This window comes from Homo sapiens, chromosome 17 (genome assembly GCF_000001405.40).
Source record: "Homo sapiens chromosome 17, GRCh38.p14 Primary Assembly".
NCBI classification, from domain to species: Eukaryota; Metazoa; Chordata; class Mammalia; order Primates; family Hominidae; genus Homo; species Homo sapiens.
The window spans coordinates 71,890,451-71,905,257 of NC_000017.11; the positions used below are offsets into that span (position 1 = coordinate 71,890,451).

At 40.8% G+C, this 14,807-nt stretch overlaps 1 annotated feature.

The window, feature by feature from the left end:
• Positions 9,882-11,081: an enhancer, noted in NCBI's record as "P300/CBP strongly-dependent group 1 enhancer chr17:69896473-69897672 (GRCh37/hg19 assembly coordinates)". NCBI's record gives its function as "activates an origin of replication core promoter dependent on BRD2, BRD4, P300/CBP, MED14 and CDK7 cofactors, with strong dependence on P300/CBP, by STARR-seq in HCT116 cells {active_cell/tissue: HCT116}" and the evidence as "EXISTENCE:reporter gene assay evidence [ECO:0000049][PMID:35650434]".

Sequence of the window (14,807 nt, forward strand, 5' to 3'; positions counted from 1 at the left end):
TGAGATCTCCCCAGAATGGCCTTTACCATCCATGTTTCTACCAGCATCCCATGCATGGTGAGAGATGTATTGTCTAAGATGACAGAGCCTTCCTCCATATCTCCTTTTTTCTTCCTGAATGTTCACCAGAATCACCTTAAATGGTTTTAGTCAAGCTATGTTGCCACCCAATGAAATGCTACATAGAAGGCATTATCTCAAGATCAAGAGCAGCTTAAATTGTAAACAGATAAATAAAGTGACCAAGGACTTCTTCATGGCTGACTTTTTCACTGGCCTGGACAAAAGTCCTTACAGAGTATTGGTTCAGGTGGAATAGCCGTCTGCTCTCTTGCTTCTCTAATTTTATTAAATTCATGCAGGAGCCTCCTAATTCTCCCTCTGAGTTCTGAATTCAATTTTAGCATGTCTGATATAAAAGGTAACACATCTGTGTGTGTTGCTAATGTATTTCTACCTGTGAGAGCAGAGATGACAACTCTGATGGAAGCATCTTCATTTTTTTAAAAAAGGTGCAAAGAAGTAAGTTTTTCTTTTCTTTTCTTTTTTTTTTTTTGATAATGAGAAGACAGAACCTTCTGAGGCACAGAACACACTGGAGAAAAGGCCATGTGGATGAGCCATGCAGAGAGGCTAAGCTCCCAGGGCAGGGAAGGGAGGATGATGTTCAGAGTCCGTAAGACTAATTCAGGGGGAACACAGGGTTGCCAGGACACCTGGAGTCCAGCCCTGCTTCCCCGCTAGTTAACTGTGTGACTTAAGCAAGTCACTTAACCTCCCGTTTTTATTCCTTCTTCTATTAAAGAAAACCAAGGATTAGATTAGATGGCTTTTAAAGATTTTGTTTCTAGTTCTAAAATTCTACAGTTCTTACTATGTTCAGACATTCTTTCGCAGCTCTACTAGAAGCTCCACCTTCTTTTAATAAATTCTATTTACTTGCAGGTGGTTGGACTATTAAGAAAAGCAAATTGTTTAAATAATGTCTGACTTTTTGACTGACTTGACTCTCTTAACAGGCCAGATATATATGTGTATATATATATAATTTTTTTCTGGGTAGTGAATTTTTAGGTACATCAATCAAGCAGCCAGTATTTATTGCATGGAGCTAATTAACTTTCAAAATGACATTTTCATTTGTAACATTGGTTGAGATTTGAACTCAGATCTCATCAATGAAAAGCAGCTGCGCTAATAACCCAAGTCCCACCGAGCCCCCTAATTCTCCCAGCTTACCCTCACCATAAATGTGTGATTAATCGCAGGTTTATGGGCGTTCTCAGTTACTGTGAAAACAAATCATTACCAGAAACTGGCATTCCCAATTTATTTTATTTATTTTATTTTTATTTTTATTACTTATACCCTATTCTCCATATTTTCCATATGTTTTGGGTCCTTCTCATCCATTCAGGACCTTGTGGAAAGCTCAGCTCACCCCCATCTCCTGATAAACAAGAACATTTTGTCGTTTTCTCTTCACTCTTTAATTCTTAAGGTGTGGAAATAATGGTACTTTGCAGGAAGACGTGAGGGAACAATGCAGTTGACAGCTGGACAGAGTGAAGACAAAGATGTATGTGGTTGTTCCTCACTTCAGGTCAGTAGAGCAAACACAAAACTTCATCCACCTACAAGATTCAGGCATGCAAGAGGTTAGGAACTTGGAAGTGGGCAGAGGGATCTGATAGTGGCTTCTCTTTACTAAATTCTCATTCACTTTCTTACTATTATGGTAAAAAAAATTATATAAGGAAATCTAGAAAAACAATCTAACCTCTTTCCTCTTGTTTTCAAGCCCCCCAAATAGTTAGATTTAATCAAGTTTGCTTTGAGGGATCTGTAACATACACTAAGACATGTAGCGGGAAGTGCTCTGAAAATCTGATGGAAAGAGACACACCTTACTAAGATGCCAGGAACAGACAACACAACCAACGCAGTCAAATATAACCCTAAATATGAAGTCCTGGGGGGCAGCCTCTACTCCCAGTCCTTAGTATCCAGTGGCGTCGTCTCTTAACTCTGCAACTCTGTACACATCAGCATTTCTGGTTGAGTAGCAGCAGGAATCAACTTATTTGGCAACAGTGACTAAGACTCCTCATTAATATCAGGTCAGTTGTTTAGTAAGAATGTGTGAGTGTGTGTGTGTGTGTGAGAGAGAGAGAGAGAGAGAGAGAGAGAGAGAGGCAGGCTTATGCCTTAGACTCCCAGATCTCCCAAGTCCTTCAGCTTTGTCAACTGTGACAAAGGTATAAGGCCAACTTTTCCATGATTATCTACATACATTGCCTTGATCCCCTATCTTCAGAAACAGGCAAGGGACATCGCTCTTAAAATATGTGCTTCCTAAAGGAATGTAAGCTTCTTATAGTCACTTCTTTCTCCAAGCTCCTGAACTTGCAGAACGTTCCCTCTCATTTACGTCTCATATGGGTGTTCTCTTGTCCCCGTCCAATATAAACCTAGAACCAATACCCCTTGACTTGACTTTCTCCAAATACCACTATCCGGAGCCAGCTCTGTATGATCAGTGCATAAAGAAGTTTGAAGTTAAACAAGTTTGCAAATAAACAGTGAAACAAAGTGGTTTCATCACAGGGTATCAGAGTAACCCACGGAGCACATCACTGTATTAAAATTCCATTGGCTGGTGGGGGGTGGGGGGTGGGGGGTGGGGTGCAGTGGCTCACGCCTGCAATCCTAGCACTTTGGGAGGCCGAGATGGGTGGGTCACTTGAGGCCAGGAGTTCAAGGCCAGCCTGGACAACATGGTGAAACCCCATCTCTACTAAAAGTACAAAAATTAGCTGGGCATGGTGGCACACTCCTGTAGTTCCAGCTACTCGGGAGGCTGAGGCAGGAGAATCACTTGAACCTGGGAAGCAGAGGTTGCAGTGAGTCGGGATCACGCCACTGCATTCCAGCCTGAACAACAGAGCAAGACTCCATCTCAAAAACAAAACCAAAAAAATTCCATTGGCCAATCCACATTAGGAAGTTTCTCACTGGCTGTCTCTTTGCCTTGTGCCTCTGATTTTGACTTCCTTCTTTCTCTCATGGCCAGCCTCCAGCTTCCTCCTCTTCATGGCTGGCCATTCACTCCTTCTGCAAAACACTACAGCCCTCCATTCCCTACCTCAAAGGCACCTGGCCCACTTTAGCTGCCCCAACACTCATTCAGGAGGCTCTAGAAAACAAAGGTGGTGTTACTTTCTACCATGGTCAAATTCTTAGGCTGGCCCAACTTCCCCAGCAGTCTTTGTAAGCAAAGAGGAATGATATGGAATGTTATCTCCCCAACGTGAATAATATGAGCACCCTTGGAAGGTGGAACTGCCAGTAGGACCATTTGCCTTTTGTTTTGTTTCCTTTTCTTTGAGATGGAGTCTCGCTCTGTCGCCCAGGCTGGAGTGCAGTGGCGCGACCTGGGCTCACTGCAACCTCCGCCTCCCAGGTTCAAACGATTCTCCTGCCTCAGCCTCCCAAGCAGCTGGGACGCCAGGTGCCCACCACCACGCCCGGCTAATTTTTTGCATTTTTAGTAGAGACGGGGTTTCACCGTGTTAGCAAGGATGGTCTCGATCTCCTGACCTCGTGATCTGCCTGCCTTGGCCTCCCAAAGTGCTAGGATTATAGGCGTGAGCCACCATGCCCAGGTTGTTTCTAACAGTATATTTTGTTTTCTACTTAACATCTCTCAGAAGCACTCACACTCTTGTGATCTCTTTCTTGTACACATGCATGCACACACACACACGCTTTAACTCACATATTCTTTTTAAAACCCACACACCGGTAAGCAACAGAAATCGACGCACTACTCAGGTCATCCATACTCTTCCAGTGTCTACACCAAGGGGACGGGGAAGGCAGGAAAGAGGAAAGTCAAAAAAAAAAGCAAGCAACAGGAAATGCAAAAAAATGGAAGTAGGAGGAGAAAGGAAGGAAGAAATGAAGTAAGTAGTGTGTTAGTGTATTTGACAGCAAAGGATCAAGGAGCCATGGGAAAGTGAGTTTTTTGTTTGTTTGAGATGGAGTCTTGCTCTGTCGCCAGGCTGGAGTGCAGTGGCGCAATCTCAGCTCACTGCAACCTCCGCCTCCTGGGTTCAAGCAATTCCTCTGCCTCGGCATCCCGAGTAGCTGGGACTACAGGCATGAGCCACCATGCCCGGCTAATTTTTTGTATTTGAGTAGAGACGGGGTTTCACCATGTTGGCCAGGATGGTCTTGATCTCCTGACCTCGTGATCTGCCCACCTCGGCCTCCCAAAGTGCTGGGATTACAGGCGTGAGCCACTGCGCCCGGCTGAGAAAGTGAGTTCTAAGTCGGTGGGATGACTGCCCTGTTAGCTGTTTCTCCCTGTTACCCATCTGGACCCTAGCATCATCCCTAGTATGGGGCCAATGTGTTGACATAAAGCCACATGCACAGGGAACATATGCTTGCAGAGACATCACATGGACACACATATGGGGCTCCCCCTCTTCCCCTGCAAAGGAAGACAGCCAGAGGGGAGCAAGATTCCTGGGATGCAGAAACAAAATACACGCAGCACCAATAACTGACCTCTTTTTTCTTTTTTTATAAATTGTTTGGCCTATGTTAAAAGGTTATAAGGCATTCAGCTGATTCTCTGTGTGTTAATAAAGAATAGCTTTATTTTTATGTTTTCCATGTTGTTCAGGCACAACATAGGCCAGAAGTTGGGACTGCACAAAAGAAATTCAAAACATCCAGATCAGGGTCTGTGCGTACAGGCGAGGAATGGGAAGCTACATCTACAGGAGGTCTCTTCTTGTACTATTTCCAGCGTTCTAATTCACCCTTTTGAGGTTTAGTAAAGTAACCACAGTAGCCAAAACTGAGGGTGTTAACACAAACTAAACCTCAGATCCCTTAAAAGCTTCCTCCTGGTGACTCCAGAGCTCCCGCATAAGCCCTCCACCCTGAGCCACCACCACCCGCATTGAGATGAGGGCTTTGGAGAGGATCATGCCACAGACACATCTTTCTATGTGTGTGACACAGCCTCTGCCAACTTGCAGTGAGACCTTGGAGGCCAAATATAACCAGTTACAGGAGTCCCCATCCTGTGTCTACGGCATCTGTGTGTGGAGGAGGGGAGGTTTTTCCCTGGATGCTGTTACAGCTGGGGTTAGAGATCACTGGGCTCCCCAGGAAACCTGGAAAGCATCTTACTCAAGCTGGCATTTGCTCCTGGTGATCCTTCCCTCCCACCAAAATCTACAACTGTATCTCTCAGGCTTTTGGGCCACTCATTATTCTCACAGTAAAATTTCTTTAATCTACTGGATACCACAGCCTCCAAAAAAACTCGGACAATAGGGAAAATGAGAGAGTAGACACAAAAAACAAAATTGATAAATCACTTGAAAACTGTCCCCAAATTACCGGGGAACATTTTTTCTTTCAAGTTCATCCTTCTGAAGTATGAATTGCATCAATTTCTTCTCCAATTTCATGACACTTTCACCTGGATTCTTAAGAAATCTTTGCCATGTTCTAGTTTCCTCTAATATCCCTGTCTTCCATATTATCAAGTTATCATTCTGCAAACAAACATCTAATTATATTCATATCTTTTGTCTTTAGTGGTTCCCTATTCTCTATACCAGGGGTCCCCAATCCCCCGGGGCCGCACAGCAGGAGGTGACGGCAGGCAAGTGAGCATTACTGCCTAAGCTCCTCCTCCTCCTGTTAGATCAGTGGCCATCGGCATTAGATTCTCATAGGAGCACGAACCCTATTGTGAACCATGCATGGGAAGGATCTAAGTTGTGCGCTCCTTATGAGATCTAATGCCTAGTGGTGGAAAAATTATCATCCACGAAACCAGTTCTTGGTGCCAAAAAGGTCGGGGAGCCCTGCTCTGTAGTATGAAAGATGAAATTTTAAACACACGCTTTTCACAGACATTAGAATATTCACATGTTCCCACCGAGGCTATGGACATCCATGTCACTATTCCATTACACGGTCTATATGACTCTCCTTCCGGACGTTCTTCCATTTCTGGTATTGACAAAGTGTTACTTCTTCAAAGGCCAACCTGTTTGACCATTTGCTCTGTAAAGTCTTCCGTAAGCCTTCAAATAGAGATACTTCTTCCTCTCCTCTTTTCCTTGATGTTTGCCTATATGTATCCTATTGTAAACTCTTGTTATCTTAGCTATTAGTTTGGCTCCTGTAATATAAAGTAAGCTCAAGGTGAGCATAAACCGCATTTTTAGGTCCCAGTGTAAGACAAGGCATATAAAAGATATTCAATAAATATGATACATATCAGAGGAAAATGAACGAATTCATAAACAAATGCCTCATTCAGTGGCCCTAAAGAAAAACACACTTGGTTTGGAAAGTGTTAAAGAGTGGTTAATCCATATGTAATTCTGTGCATTTACATACATATGTAAAATAGTACAGTTCATGTAAAAACAAATGTACAGATACACATCAAATTCATTACTTTATATATTCTGTGGGCACATGCATGCAACTTGAATGTTTCAGTTTAAAAAAAAAAAAAGTGCCCCAAAGGTCTTTCAGAGTCAGGTCTTTCTGTGTTGTTTTGGTTTTCCTTTTTGATTTTCTAATCACTACTAGGGATTCAATGATAAGATATACCCCATTTTTTAGCTATCCTCCTTGGCTGAAAGACAGCTTAAAAAAATTTTTTTTTTTCCTATTAGGAGCAATTGCTGCTATGAAATCCTTGGGCTTTCTACATCCTTGTGCACATATGCATGTTTTTCTTTTCTTTTCCTTTTTCTTTTTTTTTTTTTCCTAGACAGAGTCTCGCTCTGTCACCAGACTGGAGTGCAGTGGTGCGACCTTGGCTCACTGCAACCTCCACCTCCTGTGTTCAAACGATTCTTCTGCCTCAGCCTCTTGAGTAGCTGGGACTACAGGCGTGTGCCACCACGCCCAGCTAATTTTTGTATTTTTTTAGTAGACACGGGGTTTCACCATGTTGGCCAGTCCGGTCTCGATCTCTTCACCTCGTGATGCGCCCGCCTCGGCCTCCCAAAGTGCTGGGATTACAGGTGTGAGCCAATGCGCCTGGCCATATGCATGTTTTTCTTAATGGCAACACCTGAGAAAAAGAGCTGCTAGTTCATAGGAAATGTCCATTTTAAATGTTAATAACTTCTACAAATTTACCCTACAAATTGGTTTACAAATGTAGCTACTTCAATCTTTCTACTCTTTCATACTCCCATTTTATGCTTCAATAAATTCTAATAGATAGCTTCTAAAAGTGTAGTTCCAGATTTTTTTCAATGAATGCTTATTAAACTTAACATCAAATTTTCCTAGTTTCATTGCTAACCTTTAGTTCTTCTATCTCATTAGTTTCTCTTGGATTCATCTTTCTTGTTGTTATATAACTTCTTATAATACCTTCAGAGTGTTTGCAGGAGTTTGTCTTATTACTCATATGTAGAAAGCTATCTTCCTTTCAAGCTCATGCTCGAATAATATCACTAGGTAGAGAATTATGGGCTAAAATAAATTTTCCTGTAGCATTTTAAAATTTAAATTTCTTCCAGCATTTAAAGTGCTTACTGTATTCTTCTGTCTAACATTGATGAGAACTCATATGTCAATATGATTTCTCTTCTATTATAGGTAATCTTTATTTTTTTCTTATCTGATAGCTTTTGGGATTTTTCTCTTGATTCTTTCTGTTCTAAAATTTTACTGCAATATGTCTAGATGAAATAGTAAAGATTGGTAAATAATTAAGAAACTTTCAAATATTTGGATGTTTTATATTAGATGAGTGTATGAATAACTAAATACATACTTACTAGCTATTATTTACTAATAGGTACAATATAAAAGGGCATAGAATAACAGCAGAATGGAGCTCTGATTTTAGCTTGGCACTAATAGGCTGTGACAACTATCTGGATTTGTAACCGCTCTAGGTATCACTGTCTTTGTGGGTGAAATGAGAGGGTTATAGGAAGTACCTCCAAGATGATTTTCAGTCATAAAATGTTGTGCTAGGGACTCTGAGTTTTTAGAAACTCTAAAGGTTTTTATGTGGTCATTTCTTTTTTCTCAAGACAATATGGAACCTAAACAATATCAGTGATGTTGCTGTTTGTTAGAGCTATTTCTTTGAAATGATTTCTAGAAATCAAACATCTCTTAACTCTCTTCTCTTGTGTCTCTTTCGCCAGCAGCTAAATGTATGATTTTTCTTAAGTACAATAGATAAAATCAGGAGAATACAGGAGTATAAAAATGTCGTTAAATGTTTCTTTTAATCTTAGAGCTGAAGTAAAAGGGAGTGTGTATAGGTGAGTGAATTAAAGGATTCCATATGAGATACTTTATATATTCAAACTTTTGCCAAAAGGATACTTAAAACATTCACAAAGGGAATTCTAAGAAGCCAAAAGATTTCTCCCTCCAAAAAGACACAGGACCCCATTGAATTAAAGCTTCCGACCTCTGAGTACCAGGCTGCCCCTGATTAAAAACAAATGGAACACGTGCTATGCAGCATAAGTTTACCTGATTTATGACTTGGAAAATTAAGTTACTATTACTTATGGGGCTTGGAAGCAAAGGCCCAATGCAATAGCTAATTGAGAGTAGAGAAGGGGTATATGCTGAAATTGGGAAAATATATTTTAGGGAATGGCTGAGTGAAGACATCAGGGTATGTAATTAAATGGCTTTTTAAAAAAAAGTCACACTCCCAACAACCTCTTATATCAAACAATTGGAATGTGTTAGTTTTATTAACTGGTCTTCTGCCATTAGCTCCATCAAGCTGGGTATTATAGAGTTCACTTTCTTCATTGCCTATAGTAAACATATTAAAACTTGCATTACCAGGTGTCTCGTAATAATGGAGTATTCGTTTAGGAGAAAAATTTGCGGTAGTTCTCCAATAATTAAAGGCAATTTGAAATGCAAGCAATTTCTGAGTCTTGGTAAACTACCCAAATGACTAGGTAGTTCCTAGGTTCTTCATAGTCATAACAGTATGTTTTGATGAGTTTTCTGATTCATCAAATGAATCACCATTTAATCTTAAGAAGAAATGTTATTTTCTTAGGAGTTAGGGATCAGGAAGTTCTGGTTATGAAAGGTCAAATGCGGGAAGACAGGAGAAGGAATAAGACTATGCACAGGGCCCTTGCTACCAACTCTCATTCCAGTGTAAGTCTACTTTCCAAGCCACTCAGAAAGTTGCATGGTAGGGAACTAAAAATCTCATTATTTCTTACAGTTGGGCTGTGACTATTTGAGTGATAAAATTGATGACATATGGAGGGAGTTTTTGTTTTTATTAGACGATCAATTATTCTAGACACATGGCTGTAATTTGTTCTAATAACTACTGAATGTTTTTGAAATTGAAGGGTGATGCTGTCTAATCATAATAAAAACTGATTTTGCTATCATTGAACTTAGTTACTGAGGAAATATGAATATATACTTATTTAATTACAGTGAAAGAAAATTTTGGCAATTGAGAGTTATTTTACTAATTAAGACACTAAAAGAATATTTCTCTAACCTAAATCTCTCTTTTAAAATTCATACACTTTATTCTATAGTCATGATTCTTGTCTAGGGATGATTTTGCCCTCCAGGAGACATTCAACAATGTCGGGAGACATTTTTGGTAGAGGCCAGGAACGCTGCTAGCGATCTTACAGTACACAAGACAGCCCCTAAGATAAAAACATTTGTCAACCCAAAATATTGGCAGTACCAAAGCTGAGAAACTCCAAAGGAACTTTTAACCATTCAGTATATAGTTCATTAACTCAATAACTGAAAAGTCACATAAATGCAAACTGATTACTATTACTCTAAATGGACTCCATTTTTAAAAATGCGATTTACATACAATTTTTCAGGAGCACATTATCGTTGAACATGAGATAGAGCTGTACAGATTTAAACCCAACAAACAACGCCAAAAGAAAACCCACTCACCATACCATCTGCTGCAGGGAGGAACTTGACCAAGGCCTGACCTGGCACTTTGCCCCCAGTAAGAACTCAATAAATGCTCGCTGAAAGAGTTTTTAAATAATCAATTATTTGTTCAAAATATAAGGATAGGCTTTCTTGAGAATGTCTATGCTTTCTTTTTAATAAAGATCTAAAATGCCCAACGGGAGAAAAATTCATTCCTAAAGAAACTAGATTTGTATCTTATTCAAATTTAAAATAAAATTATTTTTTAAAAATTGTTTGGTTTTAAGATTGTTGAGTTGGTTGAAACAGAAAGTAGCTCCATGGCTATTTTAATCACAGCTCTGGCTCTGTTTCCATAAAAAACACTGACTGTTTCCAGATATAAAAACATTTGCACGACCTCCAGAGGGACGTTCCAAAGTAGCTTTCTGCTGTCTGCAAGACAGGCTGTGCCCAGGGACCCACTTTTCTCTATCAATCTCTAGCAAGAATGAAGTCTTCACTTTAGCTCAGTAGCCTGGGGGAGAAAAGATGTTTCACACCCACTAATTAGGGGCTGTCAGGTAACCCAGGTGACCCCTGAGATGCCAAGGTAATGAATTGTTTGGTCACGCTTCCTGCCACTCTGACTCAGAGATGCTCACACACCAACCGCCCATCTATGAGTCTCTAACCTTTTGGAGGTTTTCCGATCATGAATTTTGAGGAGTAGGAGAAGCCAGAGAAACAGTGGCAAAGACAAAGAGATCCTGAAAGGCCTGGAACCAGAGAAATCAAGAGCCAGAGACAGCTGATTTGGGATGGAAGTTTCCAGCCTTTCACTGAAGTATCTCTCACACATGTATAAACACAAAAAGTGAAATGTCCTTAAGCAACAATCTATTAGTTTAGTGTATCTAGCTGTGTGTAAACATCTAGAAACCATGCATCCCATTTTCTTGCTCACCTGACTTAAAAAATTGGCTCCAGACTAGTATAAGCAATTTTTCTTTATGACAAAGGATTTAAAAAGATTATAAGAAATAAAGGTAGAATTAAATATTAGGATAACAAGGTTTGGAGTGGAAGTTAAAGATGTAACAACCCCTACATCCCTCCCTATCTATCTATCTATCTATCTATCTATCTATCTATCTATCATCTACCTACCTACCTACCTACATATCTACCTCCCTCCCTCCCTATTCCTAGTCTATAATGTAGAAAAAAAGTACACTAACATTTCTTCCCATGGGCAATGATACTAATATTGTATTTTTGGCAGTTTTATCTGTACTTGAAAATAAATTAATGGCTCCCCAATGAAAGTCAAGTGCAAGTTAAAGATGGAAAATAATTGTATTAAGAAAAATGCATCATGCGGACTTAGCGAATTTTTAAAAGATATTTTCACAAAAAACTACTGAACCTAACTTCACTTGTGAGTCACGGCATAGAGCACGGGGAAAGGTCAGTCAGTACTTATTTATCAAAAGTGAGTAAATAAGGTTGATGCCATGAGATGTTCAGTTGTTTGAAAAGTAAGAAATCCAGCCTAATGTCTGCTTGTGTAATGAGTTTAGCCATGTGAAATTGCTGAGTTTTTAGGCCAACAGTAAATATCAACAATTTTACAAAGTTTAGCTTTGTAGCATCGTTTTTTTAAAAAAAATTGTTAGACAACATTTTAAATCTCCCTTCTTACTTTCCAAATCATCTGTGAAAAGGAATCTTCAAAGCTAAATCCTATCTTCCCCTACTGTTGGCATGGAAGGAAATCTTAGAAATAATTTTCTCCTCCGTAGGCATCTAAAATGAATTTTATTTCAAGAAAGAACCAATTATTTCTAGATAAATTGGGATTATGTAGGAAATGGGCCTGTGGGTCCACAGCCATGTTGAGCAGAGTAGGCAGAGGGCAAGGAGAACAAGGAACGGCTAACACTCACAGAGCCAGACCTGATTCTCACTTTTTGACGCATATTTACTCATCTAAATCTCACAAGAAACCAAAAAAATGGTATCATTACTGGCCCCATTTTATGGATGTTGTAACAGAGGCACAAGCAAGTTAATTCTTCTAAGGTCACACATTAGTGGATATTGAGACAAGATTCAAACCTAGGCAGTCTAGTTTCAGAACATACGTACTTAACCCCGGCACTGTACTTTTCCCCAAACAATACCCTGTCCTCCTTCTATATCCCCTTCCTCTGAATTGCCTTTCTTTTTTTCACCTAACTCCATCTGGTGAATACATTTGCATGGGCTCGTACAATTATTCTTTGTCTCTTGCTGCTGCAATGACAGGTTGCTGACAATATGAACTGTGTCTGTCTCATTTGTTAAGGCGTCTTCTTCTGGGTCTAAATGTGGGAGATGCTAAATCATTAGTTGGTGGAGTAAATTATTGTGTGAATGAATGAATGGTGTATTCCACCCTAGGCTAAGGAACAAGGGAAGATTTAAAGCATCAAGTCATTAAATTGAAGCATAAGGTGCCAATCACAGGCAAGACACAACAAAAGGGATTGGGGGCCCTTTTGGGTCAGTCTCTGGGGTGAGTCTGCGGAGGGCACATTTTATACTCTGCCTTGGAATGAGCACATGACATCAAGCCAGTTGGGTCAAAAACGTGTTCCATTCTTGCCTGTGTGCCTGATCCTCACCACCAATACCAAGAGAGCAGCTTTACTTTTCAGCTGCTTCCCAGCAGAGCCAAAGCACTGAGTCATGCACACTCTCCTTCTGATGCATTTCCAAGAAGATTGTCCAATATTCAGATTTTGCCCTGTGGCCCCCAACCCAGAAAATTTCCCCATGCAATCCAAATGGCAAAAACAAGAATTGAACCTGTGCCTTGGTCCTGATTAGCACCAAAAGGTGGCCAAAGTTCTCACTGTGGAGAGTGGAAATACAAACAAGCAAGGTATTGCATAATTGAATGTGAAATGTTTTCATGAATTTAAATGAGAAGTATTTAAACAAATTTACACTTTTCTGGATTATGATTCTGACTGCTTACTGAAGTTGCAGAAAAAGGCCAGGAGCAGTGGCTTATTCCGGTAATCCCAGCCCTTTGGGAGGCTGAGGCAGAAGGACTGCCTAAGACCAGGAGTTCAAGACCAGCCTGGGCAACACAGCGAGATCCTAGCTGTACAGGAAATTTAAAAATTAGCTGGGTGTGGTGGTGTGCACCTGTTGGAGCCTGGGAGTTCAAGGTTGCAGTGAGCTGTGATCACACCACTGAATTTCAGCTTGGGTGACAGAGTTAAACCTTGTCTGTTAAAGAAAGAAAGGTGCAAAAAAGACAACAAGATAAATGTTAAACAAAATAGGACGATGGACAGCCAGGGCCCATGCAGACTCAGATGAACACATTCCTACAGATGTTTCTGTGGGAAGAGAGGAGAAGAACGTGGGTGTTTGTGCTCATTTTCACACAGCCCTTTCTTTATCCCCAAGAAAAAGAAATATTACATCTGGAGCATTTCTTATTCTTCTCTTGGTTCAGAGTAAGGATGCTTTCATGTGTACATGCACACACAAGCATATGAGGAAGTCGGGGCCTATTAAGTACGGAGACCCCATATGGTTCCTTCATACCTCCCCCTATTCCAGAGTTGAAGCAATCATGGAAATGGACGGAGTCCAGAGTTTATTCCTCAAACTACATGTTCAGTCTTGAGCTTTATTTCTTTTAACCAAAGAGTCGTTATAAGCAATAATTATGATAAAAGGGTAATTAGATACAGATTTAAGGATAAATCAGAAGAAAACACAGTGAATCCTCTGCAATTGAAGTCCACATGCACTAATTCAAATTTTACATATTTCAATTAAAAAATAATTCGTGCTGCTCTATCTCCAAAGCCCATTTCGGATGGCATACTGCCTGCCAGTGTTTGGAGAACTCTGCTACTGAGGGTGGTTAGGTGGGTGTATTAGTCAGTTCTCATGCTGCTAATGAAGACATACCCAAGACTGGGTAATTTATAAAGAAAAGAGGTTTAATGGACTCACAGTTCCACATGGTTAGAGAGGCCTCACAACCATGGCAGAAGGCAAAGGAGGAGCAAAGTCACATCTTGCATTGTGGCAAGCAAGAGAGAGCATGTGCAGGGGAACTCCCCTTAATAAAACCGTCAGATCTCGTGAGACTTACTATCCTGAGAACAGCAAGGGAAAGACCCACCCCCATGATTCAATTACCTCCCATCAGGCCCCTCCCATGACACATGGGAATTATGGGAGCTACAATTCAAGATGAGATTTGGGTGGGGACACAGCCAAACCCTATCAGTGGGTGTGGACCTTCTGCAGCTGTCACAGCATTTACCCCAGGAAAACGTGTGCCTGTGCATCGCTCTGTGTGTTCAGGTGGTTTTCATTTGTCAGTACACATTCTCATAGATTGCCTCTTTTCTCCTTAGGTACTGCTGGAGGATTGTTAGATATAAGCTAATTCCTTACTCAACCATCCATTGAGCCCGTTAGATCCCAAGCAAGCATGTCCTACTCTTAGGATACAAAGATGATTCAGGCAGGGTCCCTGTCCTCAATACTTCACAGTAAAATGGAGGAAACTAGGCCGGGTGCGGTGGCTCATGCCCATAATCCCAGCACTTTGGGAGGCCAAGGTGGGCGGATCATGAGGTCAGGAGATCAAGACCATCCTGGCCAACATAGTGAAACCCCGTCTCTATCAAAAATACAAAAATTAGCTGGGCATGGTGGCACGTATCTGTAATCCCAGCTACTCAGGAGGCTGAGGCAGGAGAATCACTTGAACCCAGGAGGCAGAGGTTGCAGTGAGCTGAGATCCCACCACTGCACTCCAGCCTGGT